This window comes from Homo sapiens, chromosome 11 (genome assembly GCF_000001405.40).
Source record: "Homo sapiens chromosome 11, GRCh38.p14 Primary Assembly".
NCBI lineage: Eukaryota > Metazoa > Chordata > Mammalia > Primates > Hominidae > Homo > Homo sapiens.
In genome coordinates, this window is record NC_000011.10 from 15,552,136 (window position 1) to 15,569,158 (window position 17,023).

The window sequence follows — 17,023 nt, forward strand, 5'->3', positions numbered from 1 at the left end:
GATGCTTGCTTTATCTTTTAGACTGTGATTTTTCTTGCTTTTTGGCTCGTTTTGTAATTTTTTACAGAAAGTCAGGCATATTATATGTTAGAAGCTGAGGTAAATCGGCCTCAGTTTAAGCATTTGCGCTAATCTGGCTAGGAATTAGGCTGTGTTTAATGTAGTTACTAGAGGCTTCAAATTTCTTTTATGTCCTTGTTTATGTCTCTCCCATTGTCTTTGGGTTTCCCTGTGAACACTTCCTCAGTTGAGTCAGTTGTGTACAACCCTTTTATCTATAATCCATTGTTATTACACTAGGGAGCCTTGTTGGAGTGGTCATACAGTTTAGGGGGAAGGGGAAGTTTTCTGTTATCAAATCTCAGTATGTTGGTGGACCTGTGTTCCTAGCAGTGACCTTCATAAGTGTTTCTTAGATTTTTCTCCCCACTTATGTGAGATAGGAAGCCTAGAAGTGGGAGAAATGCCTTTCCCCAGGTTTGATAAAAGGCAAATTCCTTCCCCATGGAGAGGAGGCCTTTGTTAAGGAGAATTCACTGTGTGTTTCACAGTGGTTACTCTTCCCTCCCTGTGCGAGAGTCAGGAGATCTTTTTGGTTCATCCTGAGAATCTTGTGGAGTTGCTGGAAGTAAGACTCAGAAGCACATCAGGACCCCTAAGACTGTGACCCCCAGGAGTTTCTCACTCTCTAATTAGTTCACATTCACCTCCAGAAATTCATCAAAATTATCATTTTACTGTTTTTACCAGTTGTTGACTCCAGCAGCTTCTGCTTCAGGTAAGCTGATCTCAGCTTTGATTCTCTGGATTTACCTGTCTCTCCAAATTTTGAGGCAGCAGTTTCCCCTGCAACTTTATTCCCTGATTTATCTGAGAAAAGCTGTTGATTTTCAGTTTGTTCAACTTTTTTCTCATAAGGGTGGAGGGTAGCATCTTCCAAGCTCTTTACACATTAGAGCTAAAACCAAAGTCTCTATCCTGTTTTTTTAACTTACTCTTGGTTCAATCTTGTATCTAAATGTTTTGTGTCTAAATGTTTTTCCATGGAGATGTACAGGGTATTATTAGTTCTTTAAAACTGTTTTGTATATTTAGTTTTACCCCCTTTTCTCATGCCTACTGTTGCACATTTTTATTTTCTACCTTTTTTCCTCCTGATTTGCATTGCCAGAAGGATGTCAGTATTACTGAATGAAAAAAAATCTGTTAAGTTTGTCACCTCTGTTTTATCTCCTATTTATTTGATTTCTTATTTTCTATACCTTCAGTTTTTCTTAGGTTTTATTCGCTACTTATATGTTTTCTCTACTTAAGTTGGATGTGTAGCTTCTTTGATTTCTTCCACCATTATTTAACAATATACTAATAATACTCCTCTCTCTATTACTGCTCTTCCTATTTTCATACTTTTGCAGTAATTTTATTGTTTTTTAAATAGTTTGTAATTTCAGTTTTAATTAACTCTTTGACATAGAAGTTACATTGGAGAGGAGATTTTTGTTTTCCATTTTCAAGTGAATTTAAGTTTTTCCTCTTTGCCTTTTATGTTAATGTCTACTTTTATTGCACTGCATTGTTAGACTGTAGAATGTATGGTTTCAAATGTGAAGAATTTTTTCACTATTTTTTATGGCCTAGGATATAAATATTTTTGTGAAAATGTCATGAACTTTGGAAAGTAATGTATTTTCTGTTTGTAGTGTATGCAATTCTCCATTTGATCATTTAAGGCAAATTTTCAACTGATTTTTCACTTTTTTCACTTGCTATTTGTGCCGTGAAAAATAAGATGTGTCTTTAAATCTGTCAATACAATTGTACTTTCATCAATTTCTCTAACAGCTTTTTAAAGTATTTTAATGCTTTGTTATTTAATAGATTAGCATTAGTAATTATAACTTTATTTTAGGTAATCTTGTCTAATCAATATTAAGTAACATTCCACTTCCTTTGTGTGCTGTTACATGAATTTTAATTTGAGTTCCGATAGTACTATAGGCATTTCTGCCTCTCTTTTTTTGGCATTTCCTTAATAAATCTGTACTCCTGTGAACCTTTCTAGACCAACTTAGTTTTAAAACATTTGCTATGAACAGTATGCAGATAACTTTATGTTTTGCATATTATATGCTTTTTAAAAATATTATATTAATTAGAAAAATATCTACTCTCCTTTATACTGATGATTACATGGTTTGTTCTTAAAACATATTAAACTTTAATTTTCTCTGTTACAATGAAACACATAAGCATTATCTATCCAGTCCCCTACCCCATCCTCACTCAAAAACCCTAGTAACCATGAGGAGAGGGATCGACACATAAGTAAAGAACTATTTGTTTAACCATTGAAACATACATGTTTTTTCATGCTATTTCTCCTTTATACCACACATGTTTGTGACAGATTATGGGTTTTTTAATTTAGATGCTAAAATTGTAATCCATAATACATTATACTTCTACCCCTTTAAGAATTTTTTTTAATTAGCATTAGGCTTTATATTTACCTTTTACAAATATTAAGATGCTAACATTTATATTTGAAACACTACCATTGTTATCATTCATTTCCTTCTTATTACATTTTTCCTATAAATAAGAGTTTCATTTTTCTTAATTTCTCAGACAGGCAGAGAATTGCTTGAGGTTTAGTTCTTTTAGTTTTTTTTGTTTTTTTTTTCTTAATAAATACATGCAGTAGTTTTACTTTCTAAGTCATTTTTCCAGCCCTTTTATATTGACAGTTTTTCCAGGTTCAGAAATTTTTGATCACAATAATTTCCTTTGAAAATTCTATAGACATTGCTCCATTGTCTTCTGGCATTTAGAATTGCAGAAAAAGAGACCGTTGCCAACTTAACTATTTTTATTTTTACATAAAAATTTTATTTTCCCCTCCTTAATTATTTAAAGAGCTTTACAATTAGGTATTCATTTTTTTTCACCTTATGCATAATGATAATTTGAAAAGCCAAATAGTTCTAGAAGACTTGTAACTTAATATAAACCCTCTCCCATTTACTGCTCCACAAAGGCAACTACTTTCAAATTTTTTAGCTGATTTTGAAAAACGTACTTCTGTAACTCTAAATAGCAGGCTTATACTGCTATTTGAATTCTCAACACAGTTTAACCAGTCCTTACTTTAGCTTCTTAACACCATCCACCCAGCCCCCATAAGTGTGGGAGCTACTGATTCCTGAGAGTTTGAGTTCTGTGAGGGGAATGTGTTCTTCTTGGCTTTTCCTGCTGGCAGCTTAGAATCCTGCTTTTGTCAGTCAGCTGTGTCAGTTACACTTCATCTACTGCTCAGCTTCCCAATTTTTTTTTTTGGCTACTGACATTCTATTTTTCTTTGCCATTTTCAATTATTGTCTTCAAACATTTTTTTTTTACTATCATTTTAGTGAGATTTTAAGGGAAAGTGAAACTAAAGGCATGTGTTCAATTACCCATTTTTAGCCAGAAATTCTGATGTTTTTGATCCTTGAAATTCAAAGATGTTACTAGATATATCTAGGAACATATTTTCTTCTATCAGCTTTACCTCGCTGCTCAATCAGGGATTTGGTTCCACAAATCTTAATTTTTCCTTTGTACAGGGAAGTCTGTTTATATTTTGTATTATTCTTCCATATGTTTCATTTCACTTTCTGAAATTCTACTATAAATGGATTATATGTTCTGGATCTATTCTTCACTTTTATCATATTTTTGTTCATCATTTTCATCTATACAAATTTCCTCTGAATTCTGGGATAATTTATCTAAATCAACTATTCACTACTTCGTTATGTTTTCTGTAAATATTTCATAACCATATTTTTTATCTAGAATTTTTTTCTGGTCTCAGAAGTTCTTTTATTATTATTGTAATTTTATTTTTTAAGATAGTCTTGCTCTGTCACCTAGGCTTGAGTGCAGTGGTGCAATCATATAGCTCACTGCGGCCTTGAAATCCTGAGCATAAACAATCCTCCTGCCTCAGCCCCCTGAGTAGCTGGAACTACACAGGCATTCACCACCAGGCCTGAGTAATTGAAAAAAAATTTTTTTAGTAACGCATCTCACTTTGTTGCCCAGGCTGGTCTCAATTTCCTGGGCTCAAGTGATCCTCCTGCCTTGGCCTTTCAAAGTGCTGGGATTACAGGTGTGAGCCACCCCACCAGTGCAGATGTGCCTTTTTGATAGATGCATTGTCCTTTTAAATCTTAATAAGAGCATGGATTATAACATTTTCAAATTCCTTCTTTGTTAACAAAAATGTATCTATTTAATAGGGAAATATTAATTCTAATTCTTAGGAACAATCTCCTTTTATTTGGACCAGTAAATTTTTATATGCATTTGATATTTCTTTAATTTATTAATTTTTGAAGAATTGAGGTGTATTTGGGAAGAGTACACTATTTGGAAGTCACTTGGAATGAGTAAAATGCACAGAATCTTGGGGCACTACATTATAGCTGAGAGCAAAGCCATGATGGGGGAACAGGATGGAAGAATAAAAGTGGCCAAAATTATACCACACCTTTCAGCAGAAAACCACTCTAGCCTAGCCCCAGACCTGGCTGCTCTTGAACATGGCTTATCATTATGGTCTACTTATTTGAACCCCTTCCCTCCTTCATGGCTTAGCTCTAGGTCCTTTGACATGTTCTCTAAAAGTTTGACTCTTTCCAGGATTAATGCAAATTCTCAGTTTTCTGTTAGTTTTTGCAAGACAACTGCTATGGTTAGAATGTGTCTCAAAATTCTGATGTTGACAATGCGATGGGATTAAGAGGTGGGGCATTTAAGAGGTCATTAGACCATGAAGGCTTCTCCCTTCTGAATGGGATTTAGGCCCTTATAGAAGAGGTTTTACAAAGCCAGTGTTAGGCTATTGCCCTTCCACCTTCCACCATGTGAGAACAAAATGTTTCTCCCCTCCAAAGAAGTCATCATCAGAGTGCCATTTTGGAAGTTGAGAGCTTCCCTCACCAAACACTGAACCTGCCCACCCTTTTATCTTGGACTTCCCAGCCTCCTCAACTGTGAGAAATACATTTCTATTCTTTATAAATTATCTTGTTTCAGGTATTTTTTTAAACCAGCGTGAATAGACTATGACCACAACTCAAGGTAACAACTGTCTCCAATGTCATTACTGATACTTGCATTGCTATTAGTTCTAACAAATACTACAGCATTTTAATTAGCATACGTGTAGGCCAGTTCAATCTTCCAGTTTAATTCCAGAAAGAGAATATCTCATCATCTGAAATAGATGGTTATTTGCCTTCCTAAAAACAAAAATGTTAAATGTAAAAAAGGCATATTAGTCTAAAGATTCTTTAATGAAAGTAATATTGAGACTTGTTGTTGTTTACTGTTGTTCAGAAACTCACCAACTTTGTGTCTCTCTCTGAAGATCACATAGCCCAAATCCACAAACTGTTTTCTTAAACATTTGGGACTAGATGTATTCAAACGAAACATATTTTGACCATATGATCCAGCAATTGCTGTCCTTGGTAGTTAGCCAAAAAGGGAAAAATTTATATTCTACACAAAACCCATACATGCATGTTTAGAGTAGCTTTATTCATAATTGCCAAAACTTGGAAGTAACCAAGCTGTCCTTCAGTAGGTGAATGGATGAACTGTGGTATACTTAGATGATGGACTATTGTTCAGTATTAAAAAGAAATAAGCTATAAAACTACACAAAGACATGGAGGAAACTGAAATGCATATTAGTAAGTGAAAGAAGTCAATCTGAAAAGACTGTATATTGTGTGAATCCAACTATAGGACATTCTGAAAAAGGCACAACTATAGAGACAGTAAAAAGATCAGTGGTTGCCAAGAGTTAGCAGGAAGGAAAAGATTAAGTAGGTGGATCACAGAATTTTTAGGGAAGTGAAACTATTTTGTATGATACTATAATGGTGAATACATATCATTATACATTTGCCAAAACCCATGGAATGTCCAACAACAAAAGTGAACCTTAATGTCAACTGTGGACTCTGGATGACAGTGACGTGTCAGTGTAGGTTCATCAATTGTAACAAATCTACCATTCTGGTGGGAGATGTTGGTAGTGGGGAGGACATGCATATGTGACAGCAGGAGGTATACAGGAACTACGAACTTTCTGCTCAATTTTGCTGTGAACTTAGAATTGCCCTAACAAAAATTAATCAAAAAACTCTCATATCTATAGATTAAGAAACATATATATATGTTTTTATATATATTATGTTTCCTAATATGTATCTGTTAGAAAACATTGTCCTATTTGTTTGAATTGACTGTTTATTTCCAGAAACAGTTTGGAATGATATTGTCCATTATATTCCAAGGATGTGGGACATCCTGATTGTGTTATTGGAAGGGCTTTGATCTTTTTGGATTAACAAATGTGTTACTAAGTAAGATGGGGCATGGAGGAGGCTACACTTTGAGTCTGCAGAGACTTTTTTACTGCTTTACCTTGTCTCTTCTTCAACACTTCCAAAATAATCCTCATTGTTAACAGTTCTAGCTATTAAGCCTGCAAGAAAGCTCAGTTCAATTTGCATTATAATTCATTGCCATCCCTGGGGAATGTTTTCCAACAATCCTCATTAAAGCTGTTATTTACAGGTCAGATGGTGGAGAAATGATTACACATATTTAAGAACCCCAAATGCAGATTGTCAAATTATCCGTGTAGCTGGAGGAGGAGGAAAGTTGGGAACGAAGGAAGAAAAGAAAGAGAGAGAGAGAGAGAGAGAAAGAAAGAAAGAAAAAGAAAGAAAGAAAGAGAGAGAAAGTCAGAAAGAAAGTGACAAAGAAAGAAAGAAGAAAGAGAGAGGGAGAGAGAGAAAGAAAAGAAAGAAAGAAAAAGAAGAAAGAAAGAAAGAAGGAAAGAAAGAGGAAGGAAGGAAGGAAAGAGAAGGAAGAAAGGGAGGGAGAGAGAGAAGAAGAGAGGGAGAATTCACAATCTCATTTATTCCTTTCTACAAACAAGTAAACAGAGTCCTGGAAAGTTGAAGATTAAGTTCTGTGGTTTGGGTTGTGAGCTCAGGGACCAAGTCTTGAGCCTACAGCTTGCTCTCTATCTCTACTCTCCCTTTACAGATATTTCCTTATTTTCTTCTGAGAGGTTAACAGAGGTAGGGCAATGGAAGGACTTTCTTTTGAGATGTCTCACTGACTCCTGTTCAAATAAAGTTTCAGGAAACAGAGGAGTGGCTTGGGGCTTCAGCTTGCATAAATGAGTTGTTTGAATCTCAGCTCTAACATTTCAATCACGTCACCTGACTGCAGGGATCCTCAATAGTTCCTACCATGTCCAATACTAACACCTCAGAATTAGGAGTCCTCAGGAACCATTCCTGCAGGAAGGGACAAGAAGGAGGACCTTGGCATTCATCTATGTCCTCTTGCAGTCCATCTTGGTCCAAGGGACAGCAAAAAAACTCTGGCCGTAGGGCTGGGCTGGGCATGTCCCGCGGCTGTGTGGCTGTGTGCAACAACCAGTCTTTGCTCAGGTTTCTTATTCCTGTCCTGTGCTTGCTCCTGTCTCAAGTTCAAACCCCAGCCCCTAGACCTCTGGACACAGACCCTGCACACAGACCCTGGTTTGTGGTGTTTGGTCTCAGCTCTTCCCCGTAGGCTCTGCCTTAGAACATCGAACTCCTCCCTCTCAGGAAGTCCTTTGCACCCCAGTCCTGCCTATGGGAGCCAGAGGCAGAGCTGGCAAGGAGCAGAAAAGACAAGTGCTTCCTGGAGCACATTCTCCAAAGGCAGAATCTCAGAAGACCTCATGGTTGAGGAAAAGTGTTAAGAGGCCTGCCCCTCCCCTCACTGCACCCACTAGGATGGAAAGCCTGATGGTGCTTCCCACCTGGAGCCTGGTGCTCCTGTGACCTGCCTCTGCCAGTGACAGGGAAATCCAGACCTTTTCCTCCAAGTAGCACCTGCTGTCAGAAGCGGGAGGGGAGGGCAGAGGACAGGACGCTCTTCCTTCTATGGCTACAAAACAGAGTCGGATGGCTTCCCCCTTCCCCGAGAGAAAGCACAACTCTAAGTGGCACCCTCACACCTGCCTGTATTTTAATGAATATTATCCCACCATCTATCAACAGCAAGTCAACAAGCTTCACACCAGGGGAGAAAAACAATCCTTGCCTTGTCAGCCCTGCCTCTCCGGGAGCAGCTGAGGGTCTCAACGCCCCCTGACTCTCTGCCACCTCTTTTTCCCTGGGGGCTGTTGACAGGGTGCAATGCAGCATGGAAATGGCTTTGGCCTCAGAATGTGGCAGAATGACAACGTGGCAGAATGGCTTGGGATTGACCATGGGCAGGCACAGGCACTCTGTCCCAACTGTCTCAGGACTTTCCAGTCCTCAGAGCAATGCTCTGTGATGGGTATTTCTATCCCCATCTTAACAGAAGGGCCACCGGGGGTTGGAGACATGCAGGGACTCCCTGAGGCCACACTGCTAACATGGGGCAAGGTTAGGCATATGAATGCAGATCTGACCCATGGATCCCTCAGGGTCTTTCTGCCTTGCTTTCCCACAGCCTCTGCCTGAGGATGCTGCTCAGCCCACTGGACTTTAGATGTTGAGAGGTGGCAGCTTGCTGGCAGCCCTAGCAGCCCTCGCTCCCTCTCGGTGCCTCCCCGGCCTGGGCGCCCATTCTGGCCGCGCTTGAGGAGCCCTTCAGCCCGCCACTGCGCTGTGGAGGCCCCTCTCTGGGCTGGTTGAGGCTGGAGCCGGCTCCCTCAGCTTGCCGGGAGGTGCGGAGGGAGAGGCGCCGGCAGGAACCCGGGCTGCGTGCGGCACTTGCGGACCAGCTAGAGTTCCAGATGGGCCTGGGCTTGGCGGGCCCCGCACTCGGAGCGGAGCGGCCTCGGGCAGTGAGGGGCTTAGCACCCGGGCCAGCAGCTGCGGAGGGTGCGCCAGGTCTGCCAGCAGTGCCGGCCCACCGGCGCTGCGCTCGATTTCTCGCCAGGCCTTGGCTGCCTCCGGGCAGGGCTGGGGACCTGCAAGCCGCGATGCCTGAGCCACCCTCCACCACCCCCTCCCCGCCCCCCGCCGGGCTCCTGCGCGGCCTGAGCCTCCCCGACGACCGCCGCCCCCTGCTCCCCGGTGCCTGGTCCCATTGACCGCCCAAGGGCTGAGGAGTGTGGGTGCACGGCACGGGACTGGCAGGCAGCTCCACCTGCGGCCCCGGTGCGGTATCCACTGGGTGAAGCCAGCTAGGCTCCTGAGTCTAGTGCGGACTTGGAGAACCTTTATTTCTAGCTAAAGGATTGTAAACACACCAATCAGCACCCTGTGTCTAGCTCCTGGTTTGTGGATGCACCAATCGCATTCTGTATCTAGCTAATTTGGTGGGGACTTGGAGAATCTTTAAAATATCTAGCTAAGGGATTGTGAATACACCAATCAGCCCTCTGTATCTAGCTCAAGGTTTGTAAATGCACCAATCAGCACTCTGTATCTAGCTAATCTAGTGGGGAGGTGGAGAACTTTTGCGTCTAGCTCAGAGATTGCAAACGCACCAATCAGCACCCTGTCAAAATGGACCAATCAGCTCTCTGTAAAACAGACCAATTGGCTCACTGTAAAATGGACCAAACAGCAGGATGTGGGTGGGGCCAGATAAGAGAATAAAAGCAGGCTGCCTGAGCCAGTAGTGGCAACCCGCTTGAGTCAGCTTCTGCATTGTGGAAGGTTTGTTCTTTCTCTCTTTGCAGTAAATCTTACTGCTGCTCACTTTTTGGGTCCACACTGCGTTTATTAGCTGCAACGCTCACCGCTATGGTCTGCAGCTTCACTCCTGAAGCCAGCGAGACCACGAACCCACCAGAATGAAGAAACTCCGAACACATCCAAACATCAGAAGGAACAAACTCCGGACAGGCGGCCTTTAAGAACTGTAACACTCACCTCGAGGGTCTGCGGCTTCATTCTTGAAGTCAGTGAGACCAAGAACCCACCAATTCCGGACACAATGTTACTCCAGATAATCAGCGCCATTTTCTGAAGCTTGAGATGCAGGAAAAGAGGAGTGCTATCCATTAGATGGAGACAGGAAGTAGAAAAAGGTAAGACCTCTGAGAGGTATCCCTGGTGTGGGAGCATGTTCGTACCTATAAGGCTGTGTGTGCTCACACACCCATGGCATCTGTGGGGGTCGGAGCTCTATGTGACTGCAACCGAGAGTGTGTTGATTGGTGTTTGTCTGTGCATGATGGAACAGTATGCCTTGTGAGCATACATGGGCATGCTTCATTCTAGCCTGCAGACAAGTGCTATAGAGAGATGGCAGAGATGCTCCCAGGCTCCCCTAGTACCTTGTGAGCATACATGGGCATGCTCCATTCTAGCCTGAAGACAGGTGCTATAGAGAGGTGGCAGATATGCTTCCAGGCTCCCCTAGGCCTAAATGTGTCAACGTCTCTGAGCCACTTTACTCATCTGTTTAAGGGGAATGAGGTGATTCAGTGATAGGATGTGTGAAAAATCCAGTATGGTGCTTGACAAATGGTAAGCACACAATCAATTGTAGATACAAACCAACTCCAAATTCACTTAATTACCTTGTCACCTATCTTTTCCACGAAAATAAAGACTTTGTCAAATGCTTGAAGTCCAGATTTGCTTGCTTTCCAGTGTTTCCACAGTCTCCCAGCCTAGAAAGCAGTGAAAGAAGTGTTTGGTCCTTTGTAGCTAATTCTTGGCAAACCCTCGCCAAGTCTTAGGGATCACTTTCTCCCTCCCAGGTGCTCACAAAGACTGTGCCTTTAAAAGGAGAGCAGGAAATAAATACTGACACATGTGAAATGCTTCCTATCCCTGTAAGAAAGAACCCCACTCCTGGCTCCTCACAAGGATGTTAAAAGATGCCCTTTCCTGGGCCTACTTCTCTCCCCTGCTTCTCTTCATGAGCCCCTAGGTTCTGGAAAATCTCCATCTGCCTTTAAAGCTGGTTTCTATCATCTCTATTAAAGAAAACCCCACTCAGCTGGGTCCTCAGCTACTTAGTAACAATTGTCCAATTTCCAGCCTCACTTCCTTTTATCATAGAATTGCCTGAGCAGGTGGTCCTCCTCAGCTCCTCTCCTCCTCGCAGGATAATGCCTTCCTTTGTGCTCTGCCTGGCAGGAGAGGCCCTTGTGGGGATGCTGCTGCCTGAGGACTCCAGGGATTGAGTCTTTGCCAGCCCTCGGATTTCTCTCCTGGGTGATTCCAGTGGAGGTGCTGGGCTCCTCCCAAAGGACATAAGCCAGGGAAGTGGATCTAAATGCAGCCCCAGACGAGACAGAAGCCGGAGAATGGCAACAGGGAGGGTAGGGGGAGAACGGGATGATAAGCCAGGACATCGAGAGTCAGGGAAAGGGGGATTCAGCTGTGTCCTGGAGAATATCCCTAGGTTTCCTGATCTAGGTAACAGTGGGCATCTCCCTCTTCAGACTTCTTGAACTGTCCCCTTCAAAGAATTAGATCGTAACTCTTATTGCCCATTACCTTTGTAGACAGAATTCTGGTTTCCTAAACTTTGCAATACTCTCTCTGTCTCTCTTTTTTTTCTTTCCTGTATTCCTATTGATCTAGCTTCCTTGGAAATAGCTTCTCAGTTCAAGGGAATAAAAATTCTTCCTTGAGTGGGGAGATTATCACAATGCCCCTTGGCAGTGCTAAGACAGCTCTGTGCTAGAGCCCAGGATCTGAAAGGACAGAGGCCGTCTAAATGGTGTAGGAAAATGGAATAGAACAGGGGCAGAAATTTCATTACAGATAATGGAAACAAGAACAAAGCACCTTTTCTCTCCACTCAACAAAGAGGCTTCTTTGATACGGATCGTGGTGGTGTGAATGATGGCGGGAGTGGGGCTGGAACAGTGGCTGTCAGGGGGATACTGACAATGGTGGAGACAATGAAGGTGGTGTCAATGGTGGTATTGGGGAGAGGAGTGGTGGCAATAGTGATAATACTGTGGTTCCTGAGGTTACTGAGGATGATGAGAATGCTGTAGATCTTTCATCTGGAATATTCTCCACACTTCATTTCTAGTCAAGTCCTACCCATCTCACTGCATCACGGAAAGAAGCGGGATTTGGAAGCGAGAATTCCTACTGCTCTTGCAACCTTGTAAATCTTACCTTTTTTGGTCTTCAATTTTCTTATCTATAAAATGTGGGGATTGGAGAAGGTGAATTCAAATAATCCTGCCACTTCTTAAATTATAGCATTTCAAGATTTCAGGCTTAGCTGTAGTCCTACTTTCTCCCAGACACTCTAGGCCACAAATTTCCTGTTTCTCTGTGTTTGGAGGATGCTTGATGTCTAAACCATCCTCTTGGTCATTAGCATTGACTATTATGCTTATTGTGGTGTCTTGGACTTGGGATTGGGTTCCCATATGAATTATTTTTGGTTCAGCACCTGGAACAATATCACACATTATAGACATTCAATACATGGTTGATGTTTCCTAGGAATGAAGAATTACTCAACTAACAATTGCTGAACATTTCTACATTCCGAGCTCTGAGCCAGGTCCAGATATAAAGGCACATTTTCTGACTGTGAGGCCTTGCTAGTGGAAGCAGTTTATCTCCCAGTGTGAACCATTAAGTAAAGGACAATATGACAAGTTTTCATAATGTACATATGAACAAAGTGAAGTTGCTGGGGAGGGGACCTGTGTAAAGTATAAGATAGGATGCAGTGTTTCAAAGGGAATCTTGAAAGATGATTCTTGTCTTTCCACTGACAAGAAGAAAAAGGCATTCAGGCAAAGAGAATTGAAACACCATGTGTAAAGGGTGAAAGTACATGCCTAGGGAATAGTGGTTTGGCATGAAGGCTGATGCCTGACTGTGAAGAGAGATGAGCTTTATCATCTGGCCTCTATGGAGAGGTTTTAGGCAGGAGTTTCCAGCATTTTCAGAAAAGCCCTATGATGGCAGGGTAGGAAATGGACTGCAATCCAGAAAGATGCAGGCAGGAAGGTATGGCAGGAAAATCTTACAGACTTCGGCTTTATAATGAGACCTGACAGAGGTAGGACATAAGACTGATGGGGCAGAGAGCAGTACTCATGGGGGCTTCAGGAGGAGGCATCTATAACTTGCAATGACTTACTGGATCTGCAGGGTGAGAGATAGGGCGAAATCTGGAATGGTTTTAAAATTTCTTGCTAGGGTAACAGGTCCTATTAGAAAGGATGTAGGGAGGAGGGTTGATGATGATGAGTGGACGAAGATGAAGAGACCATTGTCTTTGCGTCTTTGGTATCAGTGTGGTGCATAAGTGAAGTGGACATTTGGAAAATGAACCTCTGTCTCTCCCTGTCCCTCCCTTGCCCACATCTCAGTGGCTCATAAGATTCTACTGACCAGAGCTCTGCAGAGCCCAGGGTGCAGGCTGGGAAGGAGAAAGCAAAGGGGACCTCACAAGTCAGAGTCATTGGTTTCATTTCCCAATATCCAAATGCCTCTGTCCAATAAGACCTATAACCAATTTCCCAGAGAAGGCCCCCGAAGAGGCTGAGCTTGATGGAGTTGGGTAGTGGGCTTTTTTTTTTTTTTTTTTTTTTGGCTTTTTTTTGGACTAAAAGCAATTTCCATTTTATGCCTTTTGTCTCTTCATCCAAGCAAATGCCGGTGGGATCTGGCAACCTGAGTTCAATAGCCAGTCCTTTTGGTCTTTCAAAGGCTATGAATGTAATAAGAGCACTCAACCCTTCTGAAGATATGCAAATCCGTGCATTTAAAAGATTTACATTCATCCTTCACAGGCCCTGAAATATAAATATGAAATACCCAGAACCTTGTCACTTCAGTAATAATTAAGCTGATGGCCTATTATGTTCGATTGCAAATCAATATAGTATCTTTTGGTGCCACTTGAGTTCTTGAGGGTTGGCGCGGGGCCAGCTCCAGTTATACAATTGAATTGCTGCAGCTGCCTGGGAAACTTCGCTGCCGTTCCCATTCAGGAAGAATAGGCGGGTAACAATGGTGACCAGCCTCCCTACAGTAATTGTGTACGAGGACACATTTCCAATGGGGTTTTTGTTCAGCAGGTGCTGTTATTTTAGTTTAATTTGAATTCTGAAATATGGAGGAGAGAAGGAGACCAATCTTAACAGCATCTAACCTACAGCTGTTCGAAAGAGGCCAGCAAACAGCATATGTTGCTTAGATGGAAATCATAATTGCTCATTCTCCCTGGGATGTTGGCCCACCAACGTGGAGCCTCTGAAATTAGCTGGCATTTTTCTGGCATTTTCCTCAGTGGTGAGGCCTCTGCAGAGCTCAGGAGGAACTATTCTAGAGTGGCTCGCTCCCTGGGAGGCTTTGGTGGTGGCGGCTGCTGCGTCTCCTTTTTCTTCTCCTTCCCTCTTTCTCCTTCATGGTAGGCTGAGGTGAATTCCAAACACTACACAAAACACATCCAGGGTTGGCCTCCTCATTGGAGGCTGCCATGGGGCGCACAAGGAAACAGGCAGTGGCGAGGTCTGGTGGAGCCCCAGGGCCAGACTCTCTCTGAGAGCAGCGACCAACACCCCTGGGTCAGGGTCAGGGCAAGAGGAAAACTCAGATAGTAAGGAGAATAGCATCAACACAGACACCCTGATCTAGGTAAGAAATAATATCCACAAGGCACACTCCCATCCACAAAACACTTTCACATGCTCTGTGTTTTTCTTTACATCCTCACAACACTCCCTGGAAGGAGGTGATAGTGTTCAGTTTCATAGAGAAGGAAGCTGAGGTGCAGGGTTGTCAGAAGACATACCCAATGCTAAAGCCTGCTGGGATAGAATAAGTCCTCGAATGTAAAATTCCATGCCCTTCCCTATACCACTGTCTCCTTTTTTGTTCCAGTGATTTCCATCAGCTCCCAGATTGGCAGGAGGTCCTGAGAGATCTACTTCCATCAGCCTCTAAGTCTATGGTAATGAACTAAGCCTGTGACAAAGACCAAATTCTTGTGGTCTCTGTATCGGAAACCCATGTTTACATGATTTGGGGCTGGACTTAGGAAAACTCAGAGGTGTGGCATACTGAATGCCTAGCTTCTGTTCTTCTTCCCTTTCTTTTTTTGTTTTTTCCTTCCCTTTCTCCCTCCTTCCTTCCGTTTCCTTCTCTTTTTTTCGTTCCTTCCTCCTTTTCTTTCTTCCTTCCTTCCACATTTACAGAGCCCCTACTATTAGGCAGGCATTGGACTAGATGCTGTGGGGCATGCAAATATGAATAAGGTAAGTTACTGGTCTTCAACAAGCCTAGTCCAGAAGAGATACGCCCTCAAAAATAGAAGAAAGAACTTGATTGTTGCCGTATGATTGGGATTTACAAAGTGCTTGGGTCCTGGAATAGACAGTGGCTTCACAGGGAGGTGCATATGGAGGTAGATCATGAAGGATGTGTAAAATGCTTGTAGGCGGAGAAAAGGGGACAAAGATCCAGACCTGGCTTGAGTCACTGGTCTCACCCTGTCATGGGCCCTTTTTTTTTTTGAGACGGAGTCTCGCACTGTCGCCCAGGCTGGAGTGCAGTGGCGCCATCTCGGCTCACTGCAAGCTCCACCTCCCAGGTTCACGCCATTCTCCTGCCTCAGCCTCCCGAGTAGCTGGGACTACAGGTGCCCACCACCATGCCTGGCTAATTTTTTTGTATTTTTAGTGGAGACAGGGTTTCACCGTGTTAGCCAGGATGGTCTCGATCTCCTGACCTCGTGATCCACCCGCCTCAGCCTTACAAAGTGCTGAGATTACAGGCGTGAGCCACTGTGCCTGGCCTGTCATGGGCCCATTGTTAATAGGAAATGGGGGTTACAGGATTGGGGAAAGGACTGAGGTAGCTTGGCGCCCTCAGTAGCATTATGTTAAGGAGTAGCAGTGCTGGAATGGACATTTGATGTGAGACATGGCATTAAGAAGATGAAGGGGGTATGTGGCAGGAGTCTGGCCTGAATGTCTGTTGTTAGTCCTTCCTGGCCTGAGATGCCAGGAACTTGCTGGCTTCTCCTGATGTGGCTAGAGCAGTGCCTTAGTTCAGATGCTGCTGCCATTAGAACTCTGGGCACCTCCTAGAACTCAGTGATCTGAGGTTCATAGTGGGCCTCTGCTCTCTGTCAGAAATCTTTGCCCTGTCTTTTTTGTCAGATGCTGTTACTTCCTCAACCTAACCTTTGTGTTCCCTGTTGAGGGATGTTCCTGCTGGGAGGTATAGAGTAAGGATGTCCAATCTTTTGGCTTCCTTGGACCACACTGAAAGAAGAAAAATTGTCTTGGGCCACACATAAAATACACTAACACTAACGATAGCTGATGAGCTAAAAAAAAAAAAATCACAAAAAAAAATCTCATAATGCATTAAGAAAGTTTACCAATTTGTGTTGGGCCGCATTCAAAGCTGTCCTGGGCCGCCTGTCCTGGGCCCACAGGCTGCAGGTTGGACAAGCTTGGCGTAGAGCCATCCTTGAAGCCTTGAAGCTATACAAGGGTGAGAGTCAGCTCGCAACACCTGCATGTCTCATAAACCTGCCTCGCTGGAGTTCAGAGTGTTTACCAATCCCATGGTTAGGAGCATGGCTTTGGAATTACACACATGTGAGTGCTAGAAATGGATCTAGAGGGGAAGTACGAGATGGTGGTTACGGTCATGGACTTGGAAGTCAGACTGCCTGGGGTTGGAGCCTAATTTTGTCACTTCTAGATGTTTAACTGTCACTTTATTGTCTCATCTGTAAATGGGAGACAATAATCTCTAATTGAAAGGGTTAGTGTGATGTTTAAATCAATTAATGGATTTAAAATATTAGTAGAGGGCTTGACACTTACAGCCCACTAAGTTTTAGCTGCTCATAGAAGTAGCAGTAGTAGCAGTAGTAGTATAACAGTAGTAATGATGATGTAGTAATCACAGTGGCAATGGTAGTGTAGTAATAATAGTGATACTGGTAATACAGGATAGGGTGTGATGGTGGTAGTGATAGTATTAGTAGTGGTAATGGTCGTAAT

General features: G+C 42.7%; 1 long non-coding RNA gene across 5 annotated transcripts in view, besides 3 other annotated features; it reads left to right on the forward strand.

The window, feature by feature from the left end:
* Positions 1 to 637: 637 nt before the first annotated feature.
* LINC02751 (long intergenic non-protein coding RNA 2751) overlaps positions 638 to 17,023 on the forward strand; it is a 152,600-nt gene continuing 136,214 nt past the window's right edge. For 3 of the 5 annotated variants that reach the window (NR_169503.1, NR_169504.1, NR_169505.1), the window contains exon 1: positions 9,684 to 10,093. This is a non-coding gene — a long non-coding RNA (long intergenic non-protein coding RNA 2751). Of the gene's footprint in view, positions 779 to 9,683; positions 10,094 to 14,885; positions 14,956 to 17,023 lie in introns of those variants that run through there. The other 2 variants (NR_169502.1, NR_169506.1) reach the window with 2 other exon arrangements.
* Positions 8,290 to 8,791: an enhancer, noted in NCBI's record as "H3K27ac-H3K4me1 hESC enhancer chr11:15581971-15582472 (GRCh37/hg19 assembly coordinates)". NCBI's record gives its function as "activates a minimal SCP1, AML or CMV promoter by ChIP-STARR-seq in naive H9 embryonic stem cells {active_cell/tissue: H9 hESC(naive)}" and the evidence as "EXISTENCE:reporter gene assay evidence [ECO:0000049][PMID:30033119]".
* Positions 9,421 to 10,620: an enhancer, noted in NCBI's record as "BRD4-independent group 4 enhancer chr11:15583102-15584301 (GRCh37/hg19 assembly coordinates)". NCBI's record gives its function as "activates an origin of replication core promoter dependent on BRD2, P300/CBP, MED14 and CDK7 cofactors, and independent of BRD4, by STARR-seq in HCT116 cells {active_cell/tissue: HCT116}" and the evidence as "EXISTENCE:reporter gene assay evidence [ECO:0000049][PMID:35650434]".
* Positions 13,360 to 14,633: an enhancer, noted in NCBI's record as "VISTA enhancer hs692". NCBI's record gives its function as "enhancer in: forebrain[9/9]" and the evidence as "EXISTENCE:transgenic organism evidence [ECO:0001131][PMID:17130149]".